Here is a 13369-nt window from a genome sequence, read left to right as displayed (position 1 = left end):
AGTCTTATCCCCATTTCATTTTTAAATCTTCCCCATGAGGTAAAGAGAAGAGGTATTATCCTCAATCTACAGAGAAGAGATTGAGCGACTTAAAAACACTCATATCATTCAGATACTTTTAAAATTCCTGGTCCAGAGCTCTCTTCCGTGTTTAAAATCTTACCCATAGTCGCAGTGTCAACTTTCACTATATTTAGATTGTCATTTCTACTTCCACGTGTACCTCCTCATATTTCTAAGATATTTCCACTGTGTGTCAATGCATCATCCCCAGCTCCACATGCCTTACACAGACTTGCCATCTTTTCCTTGTAGCATACCCATTAGAGTTTTCTTCCTACATTTACATCTGTCAGCAGCACAGTTACTCTCTCATAGAAATTTGGAGTTTATTTAACTGCTCCCCTTTCTTTTATATCCTATATTACAGTTTATCAATACCAATTTTTTAAATTATTCCTCTATAGTGGCTTTCCTTAAAACTTTCTCCAGAATTGTCTTCTAGACAGGTCTTTTGCAATAGCTCTTATTTCTCTAACTCATTCTGTACTTGGCCAGATTAATCTTTATAAAATTCACCTTGTGTATGTCACAGATAGGGGGCAGAATGAAGTCTAAGGATTGATACCAAAGGAGGATCTCAGATCTCATTAGTGTTACCTTTTGGTCACAGAAGGTTGGGAGATAATGGGACTGGGTTGACCAAGAGAAATTAGAGTCATGAATCCAGCAAAGAGAAGATAATGCTCATCTAGACAAGCAAGGTCCTCAAAGATCTGACTTCTCCTGAACTATTTTGACGTATCTTCTATTATCTGCAACATAAAATGCTTTCTTCTGCACAGCTAGTACTTTCAATGAAATCGGAACATGCTGTGTTTATTTCTGCCCTGTGCTTTTGCTTGTATTGCTTTGTAATCACTCAAAAATGCACTCAACACATGTTTATTGAGCACCTTCAGACTCTGGAAATACAAAAATGAAGATCTTGCTCTGCCTTTTAGTAGTTCATAAGGATGTAAGCAGAGTGTGTTGGGAGGGGGAGGGAAGGGGAGAGGGAGTAAGCAATTAACTACAATATATTGCAACAAGTGCCATTGCTTGGAAAGCATTAGATGGAAACCTGAAGAAGCTAGTAGCTCTGGAGGTGACATTTGAACTGATCCTCTTTTTCCCCTCAATTTGTTCAGATCCTATTTGGGTGTCCACATAATGCTACAATTCCTCTCAAATACCCACGGCCTTCATTGAGGTGTTAACCTACATTTTTCACCTTCTGAAACTCCTTTGGAAATTATTGTTATTATCTCTGGTTTTGCCATTAATCATTTATTTCCCATGTACTTTCCTGGGTTCCTCCAACCAGATCATCAACTACTAAGTGCCAGGGATCATGTTTTACACTTTTTAGTATCCACCTCCAGACATAGAAACCAAATTCATGTTTTAAAAGATTTCTTTCAATCCTTTGTGTACATACAAATTTTCATGTTTGACAACTCTTATATTTGCAGTCACATATTAGTGTCTACAAGCTCTAGTGATCAAAATAAATTTTTCAGAGAGAAGAATGGACTTTAGTACAGTTACAATTTCTAAAGAAATGTGTCATTAAATAATTTTAGTTACATATCTACTGATCCTAAGCTGATTATTATGTTGTTAATGATTCTGTTATTTAGTGCTCAGGGAAAAATGCGCAAATGTTTGAATGAAGCACTGGAGGCAAGAGAAAGTGATGATGTATGGTCAGCAATATATGCCGTGTTATTACAACAAACATGTTGGGTGGAATGTTTATTGATTTTTTTAATCCTTAAGTAGGACTTCTGGCCTATAAAATATTTAATATTGTTTCCCAGGATCAGCTTTCCTTGAACAAACATAGATGACTGCTCTTCCCTGACAGTTTTTCATCAATGATTACCAGACTGGCACCACAGTGTACCCTCTTTCCATCTTCCCTGTGTAGGTAAGGAAAGCTTGAACTGTGATTATTTTTATTTCAGTCACTTAAAACAAACAAGAAAGACAGATGGAACTGGACCAAATTGAGGGATTTTATAGCAGAGGAAGTGTGTATGCCTGAAAATAAATTAACCATTCAAAATAGACTCCATTTGCTGCTTAGGGACAATTCAATCCATGTATCTAGATTTGAATTTTCCAGATTAAATGCCCAATTTAATAATCATCCTTTAAATAAAAAAAAAGTAAAGCCAATGCTATTTTAAATTTTTAGCATTGAGGAATTCCCTGTTTCTTCAGGTTAAAAAAAATCATACAATAAAATTTAAGCAGAACACTATTGTTGCATTCTACATAATACTTTTAAGGCATTGGAGAATACAGAATACATGAATTTTCTCTCTACAAACAGTTATATCTCAAGATCATTATGTGTGAACACTAGTCAAACTTGAAAACATAAAAGTAGGATGAGTTTATACTTTACTGGTTACCAATTTAGGGATTTAAATTTATAAATGATTTTCTTAATAAGACTTTCTATTTAACTTAAGGAACAGATTAAAAAACAATGAAATAGTTCATGTAGCACTTTTAAATTATTAGAGAAAATAACATCATGATTTATAGGAAACATTTATAAGCTATAAAAAAGCTCATAGAGGAAAAATAAAAATATTTGTAAAAACTCAATAGATGATATTCCAGTTTTATTGTGTATCATATTATTTTAAGATTACTCAAATAATTTGTAGGTCAGAGAAGTTGCTTTGCATATGGGTTATAAAAGGTGTAATTTCAAACACTTTCTTCTGGTAATATGCATTAAACAAAGAAGGACTCAAAATGTAACATTACAAATATTGAAGTCTAGTGTTATGACTCACTTGGCATTGCTCATTTCATAAGAAAACTCATAAAAATATAATCAGTGGTATATTAGATATGACTTAGGAGATTGGAGACTACTTCTAAATATACATTTTCATTTTCAATATGTATATACGTTTCATAAATATACATATTCATCTAGCATTTGCTCTTCCACAACAATCATTGTATTTGTTCACCTGCTGCCTTTTCATGGTGAGGTGAATAACAACTGCTCCTCTCTGTTTCCTTGGATTACTTGAATAAAAGCCTTTCATACAATCAGGGCCAGGCCCTCAGTTTAAGCTAATATTGTTGTATGATTTGAGAGAGATAATTTTGGTTTGGGGGCTTATTTAACTGAATTTTTATGGTGATTTTTAACAAAATACATTCATTTCTTTAACTTTTTAATATGAATTCGAATATTAGCTAAATATTCAAGATAAATCAGAGGGCAATAATTTTAAAGAATGGGAAAACAAGATTGCTCAAATAAACCTATTCTGAAATGTATTTGTCATGCGTTGACATTTCTGCTAGAATAGGTGACCAATTCCTTAATAACATGGGTTTATTATTGGTTCCAGCCCCTGATTGTTCCAGATAGTAAACAACGGGACGCTCAAGCAACATCTTGGAATAAAAATGTAACTTTCATTGTCAAATGCATTTTTACCTGATACAACAGCAAGTAAAAGATTAAAGGACTAACACAAGTTTGAGGGTCTCAGTAATTAACAAATTTGATTGCCATTAGCTTTTCTTTTGCTTTTTATTATATATATGTATATATGGCAAAACACTTCTGGATACTTTATCAATTGCTCATATGACATTTCTTGTTTTGATACTACAGCTAAGTCATATTTCCCTATTGAGAAGTGGGAAAAGTTAGGCCAATATGCCAATAGAAATATCTATGATAACACTACTCCTTTAAAAATCATTCTACTGATTTTTTTTAAATGACTTACCTCAGTATGTCTGTGTGATATTCAAAGTGAAAGCTCATTTCTTTTTCCAGGTTGTAGGGAGGCTTCTGTGCTGACTATCTTCTGGCTTATTCATGAAAATGTCGTAAGCAGAGGAACGAGAGGCAGTGAGTAAAACAAACATAGAAACCCAGGAGAAAAGACGTGCCCTGGAGACCTGTGCTAATGGCAACGAAGGGAAGGAAGGGCTCCTCCTCTGAAACCTTCCCCATGTTAGCATGGATAGCTCACAGATCCCCTTTTCAGATGCTGAAATTGTACTTTAACCCAGAAATGTTTAGTCCAGAAATGTACTGAAACTAGTTTTTCCCCTGCTTAAACAAGGCATGTCATAAGCTTGCATATCAATATAGCATATAGTGTGCAAAGATAATGTAGCTTCTTGACATCTCTGATATATAGAGTTATACCAGGGCATAGAAATTGAATCTCCTGTTTATTTTAGTAACTGTTTAAAATGGTTTAGTTTGTTTTCAAATCAAGTAATAGAACAGAGTTGTTTTAAAAGCCCATTTTTATAGCAATTTCTGGCTAAAAGTCCTGAAAAAATAATCATGCTAGCAATGTATAGCTGGTTCTGAGGGGAGATTAACCAGTCAGGAGAACATGAGCAGTTTTGCTGCTTTGAAATGATTGGCATTTTTTATGTCTCTATCCATGTGCAATAAGATGAAAAAGTAATATTTTCAGAATAGAGTGCCCAGAAATAAACTCACATAAATATACTCAACTGATCTTTGGCAAAGGAGCAAAGGCAATACAATGGAGAAGACAGTCTTTTCAACAAATAGTGCTGGAACAACTGCATATCCAAGTGCAAAAAAAAAAAAAAAGGATCTAGATACAGACCTTACATCTTCTAAAAAAATTAACTCAAAATCAATCACAGACCTAAATATATAACATATAACTCCAAAACTTCTAGAAGATAACATAGAAAACAATCTAGTGACCTAAGGTTTAGCAACGACTCTTTAGAGACAACACCAAAGACACAATCCATGAAAGAAAGAATTGATAATCTGGACTTCATTAAAATTAAGTATTTCTGCCCTATGAAAGACACTGACAAGAGAATGGAAAGAGAAGCCACCTATTGGGAAAAATATTTGTAAAAGAAATATCTGTTATAGAATTGTTATCCAAAATGTACAAAGAATTATTTAAATGAACAATAAAAATAATACTATTAACAAGAGACCAAAGACCTTAACGGACACCTCACCAAAGAAGATATACATATGACAAGCATATGAAAAGATGCTCCACATCATATATCATCGGGGAAACACAATTAAAACATCAGTGAGCTACCACTACAAACCTATTAGAATGGCCAAAATCCAGAACGCTGACAACAACAAATGTGGGTGGGAATGTGGAGCAACAGGAACTCTCACTTATTGCTGATGGTAATGCAAAATAGTACAGCCATGTGGGAAAATAGTTGGGCAGTTTCTCACAAAACGAAACATACTCTTACCGTGTGATTCAGCAATTGTGCTTCTTGATATTTACCTCAAGGAGTTGAACCTTATGTCTACACAAAAACCTGCACATGGATGATTATAGCAGCTTCATTTATAATTGCCAAAACTTTAAGCAACCAAGATGTCCTTTACTAGGCGAATGGATAAATTGTGGTACATCCAAACAATAGAGTATTATTCAGCATTAAAACGAAATCATCTGTCAAGCCATGAAAATATGTGGAGGAACCTGAAATGCATATTACCAAGTTAAAAAACCCAATCGACAAAGACCACATACTGTTTGATTCCAACTATATGACATTCTGGAAAAGGCAAAACTATGCAGGCAGCCAAAAGATCAGTGGTTGCCAGAGGTAACTGGGGAGAGTGGGATGAATAGGCAGATCCCAGAGGAATTTAAGGCAGTGAAACTACTCTGCATGATACTTTGATTGTGAATGTATGTCATTATTAATGTGCCCAAGCCCATAGAATATAAACACCAAGAGTGAACCTTAATGTAAACTATGGATTTGGGATAATAATGACTTCTCATTTAGGCCTTTTTTTTTTTTCTTTGTGACTCACTAAAATGTCTTGGGTTCACCTTGTGTCTTACCTGTTCAAGATTTGGAGTCAGTCATTATTTTTAGACACTGTTCCTTCTAGAGAGGAGTGGCAGTTTGAAATAAAGTTCTGAGTGCTAGGTATTTTCACTCCTATGAGGATGTTATCGCTTCTAGGCCACTTCAGTAGACAGAGCCAGGAAATAAATTGTTAAAAATTATAAATTTGGGTTGATATTTTGGGGTTAAATTTAATATATGGAACTTTTTATAACTTTTTATTCTATATTTGTAACTCTTTTTAACACGGAAAAATCATTTTATAGTAACACTATATTTATTTTAAATTACTTATTCTACAATATTCATAAGTGGTTTCAAATTATAATACCAGTATATTACTATTATAAATTTAAGTATAGATTTTGAAGTTTTCTCTGTAGTTTAAAATTTTTTAAATTTTTTGGTCTGTAGAAAGTATTCTATAAAGGATGGATATTTAGAACACTGTACTCAAAATTTATTTGAAATAATACTTCTCTCTGTGTAGCTATATTATAAATTTGATGTATTGACTTATCTATATCTCTATGATTAATTGTTACTGTTTTTTTCTGCTTTAGTTTTACATTAGAATATATAATCTTGATTAAAATCAAAAATAAGTAAAAATTATACTCAAAGTAATATGGTTTTTATTCCTATTGCTCCACCTCATTTCTACATCCATACATAGGTAACGAATTTCATTACTTTCTGGCTTATGTTTCCTTTGTTTATTTTAGAAGCAGTAGGCAAATATGTGTGTAGGTAGATTAATTCATATTTTATTTTCATGCAACATATTGTATAAAATCCAGAGTCACTAAATTTTGTGTAAGAATAAATCAATGTCTTGATTTTTTCTACATAGTATTTCCTATAAATCATTTTATCTTAATACATAGAAATTTTCCTCATTCTTTTTCATGACTCTATATCATAGACCTTTTATTGCACCACTGTTTATTCAATATATCCCTTATAAACTAAAATTAAATGAAATTTTGCACCTACAAGTGAGGTCTAATGCGTATGTTGTTTGTATTTGAGGAGTTATATTCTAGCATCCATTTATAAGAAGCTCTGTTTGTAAAATTACCAACAAAGTGTTTTTTCAAACTTTTGAATTTCTGCCCATCTTAGAAATACCGATGACATAGTAGTATTAATTTGAATTTCTCTCATTATCGGTAATATTGATACTTTCTTATTTAGTGGCCATTTTCCTTTTTCTTTTATTTTCTGTGATTGGCTTATTAATATCTTTTTTTTTTTTTTTTTTTTTTTTTTTTTTTTTGAGATGGAGTCTCGCTTTGTCACCCAGGCTGGAGTGCAATGGTGTGATCTTGGTTCACTGCAACTTCTGCCTGCCAGGTTTAAGAGATTCTTCTGCCTCAGCCTCCCAAGTAGCTGGGACTACAGATACCTGCCACCACGCATGGCTAATTTTTGTTTTTTAATAGAGACAGGGTTTCACCATGTTGGCCAGGCTTGTCTTCAGCTCCTGACCTCAAGTGATCGCCTGCCTTGGCATCCAAAGTGTTGGAATTACAGGCTCGAGCCACCGCACCCGGCCTATTAATGTCTTTTGACTTAGATACTCAAGCTTTTTTTCAATTTTGAAAATATTTAGATGTCCAAGAGTAGTGAAGATGGTACAGAGTTCCCGTATACACTTCACCCTGTTTCCCAATGTCAGCATTTTACAATATCATTGTACATTTACTGAAACCAAGAACTTAGCATTGTTACAATACTGTGAACCGAACTGCAGACTTTATTCAGATTTTACTAGTTTTCCACTAATATTATTTTTCTGTTCCAGTATACCGCATTGCATTTAGTTATCTCGTTGGTCTCTTCCAATCTGTAATAGTTTCTCAGTCTTTATTTTCTATGACTTGGATACTTTTGAAGAGTATTGGTCAGGCATTTTGGAAAATATCTCTTTGTTTGTGTTTGTCTGATGTTTTCTCATGACTAGACTGGGCTACTGGGTTTTTAAGAAAAATACCATGAAGCCGAAGTGCGCTTCTCATCACACCACGTCAGAGGAATATGGTATAAACATGATTCATAACTTGTGATATTAACTTTGATTACTGGTTAGGATGGTTTTGATTTGGTTTCTAAACTATAAAATTACACTCCCCCAATTTTCATTTTCTATATGTTAAAAGTGAGTAACTAGGTTTAGTTTACACTCAAGAAAAGGAAAATTACACTCTACTTCTTGACGGGAGGGCATCAAGGAATTGGTGGATATACGTTAAAACCATCATATTATTTTTTTAAAATTTCATGAATACACTTTTCAGACATGAAAATATCCTCTTTCTCTTTAAAGTTTTACCCACTTATTTTAGCATTTGCCTGTGGATCTTGCCTGTACCAATTATCATGTGATGTTCTAAGATATTTTTTCTTTTTCCCATTCCTTCTACGTTTATTCTTGGGGATTCTTCTGTAAAAACATATTTGTTCCTTAAAACTCATTTAGTTATTTATTGGGACATTTACTTTTATAAACATAGACTTACAAGTTTCTATTTTATTATTTCACTTATAATCTAACATTATTTTTATTTATTTTGTTGCTCAAATAGTTTCGGATTATTGGGAGTTGTTTCACACTGGCTCGTGTTTTTTTTCTTTTACTATCTATTTTCTAGCATTACAGAATCCATTATGCTGTACTTGTTTTTTGCCTGCCATGTTTCATGAGCACATAGACATGCAAAAAACTTTTTTATTTTGAAATATTTGTATGCTTACAGAATATTTACAAAAGTAGCGTGAAGTTTTGTTTTTGTTTTTGTTTTGTTTTGTTTTGTTTGAGGCAGGGTCTCACACTGCCTTGTACAGTGTCAGGGTCTCACACTGTGGTCATACAGTGGCACGACCACAGATCACTGCAGCCTCGGCCTCTGGGCTCAAGTGATCCTCTCACCTCGACCTCTCAAAGAGTTAGGATTACAAGCATGAGCCACCGTGCCCAGCCTCGAGTTTTAATACATCTGTCATTCAGCTTTTCCTAATGGTAACATCTTATGTAACCATAGTACAATTGTCAAAGGAAAGCAAATAATTCCCCCATCTTTTCTTATCATTTATGAACTTGACACTTTTGAAGAGTACTGGCAAAGTAGTTAGTTCACAGAATCACTACCCTCAATTGGGTTTATATGATGTTTTCTCTTTTTCAACTGAGGTTAAGTGTTTTGAGGAAAAATACTATAGGAGTACTGAGTTGCATATTTTAAAACCTGTTTAAGTCCCAGTTTTCTTCTTATCTATAAAATGAAATAAGTGCCCTCCTCATAGGTGTGCTGTGATAATTAAATGAGACAGTAAATAAAGTGCTTAGCACAGGACTTGATGCAAAGTAAGGCTTTGATAAAATGTTAGGCGTACAGTTTCCATCATCATCATCATAGTTATCATTGTCATTATTATTATCACTATTATCTTCATTTCCACCATTATTGTGTCAAGAGATAGGTATTGAACACCCAACAGTTTGGTCTTCTGGACTCAAGTGTCACACCTTGCCCTCCTCATACTCTTCCTACACATATCGACTATGTTAATCCATAAACAAACCAAATATATATTTGATCCACTTGATCAAGTTATCTCACTTCTTAAAATCTTTCTCTTATATCACGTAACTATCCATCACCTACAGAATTAAGTTTAAACTTCCTCATGTGACACCAAAGTCCTTTATGGCCTAGATTCTGCTTCTTTAGGCTTATGTCCAACTAGTGCTTTGAAAATCTGCTTGCAGGTCCTCACATTAAAGACACTCTGTCTCCTCTTTGTGTCTTAACTCATAGTTTTCTCTGCCTGGCTATTTTTCCACAGCATTCCACTTCTACCACCAACAAACTTCCATTATCATGTAAGATTCAACTCCAATTTAATCTCTCTCCAAAAGCTTTTTTTCCTTTTATAACTTGTGATAATACCTGTTTCCTTTTCTTCCCATAATACCCATTCATGCATTCATTTATAGATTAAATAGATATTTCTTGAACACTTACTATATTCCAGGCTGGGTGTTAACTAGCAGCCTCGATAAGAGCAATCCTATAAGAAATAGGATTGCAGGTGTCCAACCAGAGAGCTATGGCAAGAATGATGACCAACTGTATACATTCTGGTTTGTTCTATATTGAGATTGCTGGCAGAGGTAGCAAAAAATAAATCTGTTTTGAGTCACTGAAGTTTTTAAAGGCAAACACATTTAGAACTTTCTGAACACTTATACTCACTATTAATACTTATTTGAAGAGAGTCAGAAACTTAAGGGGTAAGCTTCCTTTAGAAAACTTACCCTCCAAGGATTAAAAAAGGGGAAGTCTTAAATTTATGTCTCAGCATTAACCAGGCTCTTCCCTACAAAGATGGATACTTGAGAACAAGGGCAAAAATATAACTTCAGGAGTAAAATTACTTGGAACACGTTACAGAAAGGAGAAATAAAATTTAAGGCTAAGAAAATAGGTTATGATTTATTAACCTGACCACGTATTCTTGCTTTTCAGAAGTTGCTCAGAGTGACTTTTGGCTATTTCAAAATATGCACCTCAAAAGATCATATTTGGAAAGAATAAGATTAAAACTAGATGGTGAAGTTTTAATAGATTCTTTCATTCATTCAATTTCCTTTCTTTTTTATAAAGTACAGTAAATTATTGTTCAATGATTCTGTTTTTGTCCTGTCTAAGCAAAAATATTCTAATTTTTCTTGACAATATCTGAACATTTTAATGGACCAGTTCACTTAGATGTTAGCCACTGTTTTTGAGAAAAATGAGAAGAGCTTGAAACTCTCTATGGATACCTATAGTGCCCTTAAATTCAGCTATAATTTAATCAATTATTAAAGAAATGTGGTCAATATGTGTAGAGTTGAGTAGCAATGATAAATTGACAACAATCGCTTTTTAAAAATTAAACTCCTATGTGCCAATGGCTATGCTAGGTGCTTTACATACATGATCTAATTTAACTTTTACAATAGTCCTTTAGATGAATATTAATATATCCCTGTTGAGCAGCATCTCAAAGAGATTTTCACTTGCCTAGGGTCAGTTAGTTAACAGGGGGTCTGGGATTTAAACCTGTATATGCAGGATTTGAAATTCTGTGCTTTTTCCCTATATTTATTTGTTGTCATGCGGATGCTGGGATGAGGGCAAAAGTATGGAATAAGATGATAGCAGAGAGACACCCTCACTTGGCCAAGCATCACAATAAGTATAAGTAGCTTTATCAGAATATGGAACTCCAGGATCCATTGAGATATAGTGAATCCGCAATGATTTTTAAAGGCATTGGGTGATTTAGATACATCCTGTCCATGGAAAAGGGTTGAGCAACCACTGAAATTGCATATTAACAAAACATCTGAATTATATTGTATAAAAAGACAAGGACATTTGTCCTTGCAGAGAGAAAAAACACAGCTTAGTGGGAGAATTACTTGGGAATCTTTATAGAAAGAAGGAAAAATTTATGGCTAAGAAATTAGGTTATGATTTATTAACCTGATCTCCTAATCTTACTTTTCAGAAGTTGCTTTGAATGACTTTTGACTATTTCAAAATGTGCACCTCAGAAGATTGTAATTTACTACCTCTGAAGTTATTCAAAAGAATTTGCTACAGGCTCTCAAAGGCAATTCCAAAATAGGAGTTTCACAAATTATATGAGTAATGGAAGTTTTGTGTAGTTTCTCAAAGGAAGAGGCCAGGGCTTACTTGTATAGGTCTGACACAAGTTTCAAGAGCTTTTTCTATTTTTCAAACAACATATTTAAAATAATCACATAATTTTGTGTTAAAAAGTGAGTTTCCATATTGCTCAATTCACAGTTTAAAATGTGCCCCTATAGTGTAAAATAACAATATAAGATTGGACAGTCAATTGAAAGAAAATAAAAGAAATTTGGCATTATAATTAAGGGATAATAAACATGTTTAAAAATGAGAGTTCGGGTTTTTGTATTTTATTGATATATATATCATATAGTTTAATATATAGGGAACAATTTGTAGAATCCCAGGTCTGGGAGGATCTTTACCCTCTAGCCCCACTGCCCATTCTTTAGTTGAAACCCTTTTTCAATATTGTTGTAGAGATGAGATAATATGTGATCAGACACATCTAGTGATAAAAATTTAATTTCTTGAGTATCCCTTTTAATCTTAATACACTCTTGATATAAAGAAATTTCTTCTTTTGAGATGAAATCTGCTTTCTTCTTGCATCTACCTATTTTCTGCTCAACTCCCTAACACCCTACCAACTAGATTACCTTCCTTTGCCACACTCTAACCTTAAGGGTTCTGGTGATTGCTAAATGACCATCCTTCTTCTTTAAACTAGTCATTTCCATTCCTTTAATGTCTTTATACAGCATGGTTTCAAGCCACTTCATTCAGGATGTGCTCCCTTAAAACAATCTTAGTTTCTCTATATCCCTCTCAAATGTGTGTATCCACAAGCATTTTGAAATAAAAAAAAATGTTCACTAGATACTTTGTATTTATGATTGCATAATAAGGGAATATGATGTAGTAGAAGGACATCTCATCTGTCTAGGTTAGGATTTTTTTTGGTTATTTCTCCTTTCATGTTTGTCTTTCTCCATTGGACTATTAGCTCTCTGAAGAGAACAGAATTTTTTTTTTGGTCATTACTCTAGTATTACTCCCCATGATTAGCATAGTGCATGTGCTGTGCACAGTTAGTATTACATTTATATCCACTAGTTGAACAGATGAATGGATGCATGTTAACGTCTGTGGCATAATTATGATTTTAACTCAATAATAAATTACTTTTACTTTCAGTTGGGCTCTGATACAAACTGGTTCATGATAGTCAATCTCATAATCTATTTTTTCCAAGAGCTATAAAATCTTTCTAGTATGACTTTTTTTACAAAGAAGAAAACATCACATATCAAGAGGATATATCTTGGAGGATGAGGTGATTTTTGACTTGTGTAGTAACCAAGTTATTGATGTCTTTTTTCCCTTGCAATTTTTTTTTTACTGCTCTGTCACTTTGGACTGACATAAGTATTAGGTGATTATTTAGCTGATTTGAAATAGCCTTGATGTCATGGTCTCAATATTTTAATCAATATTATGGATGAGTAGAATTATGAGAGGCTGATCAATGTACAAATAGCATATATATGGAATATGCTGCAAATACGCTGGAATATTAATCACAATTGATCTCAGCAGGTTGGAATAATGCTGTAATTTCCTCCTTTTTAATCTATTGCCTAGAAAAGATACAAGAATAAGTCATAATTATATAGCCAGACTTGAAAATTCATGGCGGGCCAGAACTATGAAGACATCGAAGAGATGGGAAGCAGATAGGAAGTGGCATCAATCAGCTGAGTTTTCACAGTAAGCTTTGAAGACCATTT

General features: G+C 33.5%; 1 long non-coding RNA gene across 1 annotated transcript in view, besides 1 other annotated feature; it reads right to left on the bottom strand.

The window, feature by feature from the left end:
* LINC01014 (long intergenic non-protein coding RNA 1014) overlaps positions 1–3990 on the bottom strand; it is a 38105-nt gene extending 34115 nt beyond the window's left edge. The window contains exon 1 of the long non-coding RNA NR_046786.1: positions 3816–3990. This is a non-coding gene — a long non-coding RNA (long intergenic non-protein coding RNA 1014). The remainder of the gene's footprint in view (positions 1–3815) is intronic.
* Positions 3942–4111: an enhancer, noted in NCBI's record as "active region_20848". NCBI's record gives its function as "activates an Ori minimal core promoter by ATAC-STARR-seq in GM12878 lymphoblastoid cells {active_cell/tissue: GM12878}" and the evidence as "EXISTENCE:reporter gene assay evidence [ECO:0000049][PMID:35858748]".

The sequence above is a fragment of the Homo sapiens genome, chromosome 3, assembly GCF_000001405.40.
Source record: "Homo sapiens chromosome 3, GRCh38.p14 Primary Assembly".
In the NCBI taxonomy this organism is placed as follows: Eukaryota; Metazoa; Chordata; class Mammalia; order Primates; family Hominidae; genus Homo; species Homo sapiens.
This window is presented reverse-complemented; position numbering and strand designations above follow the sequence as displayed.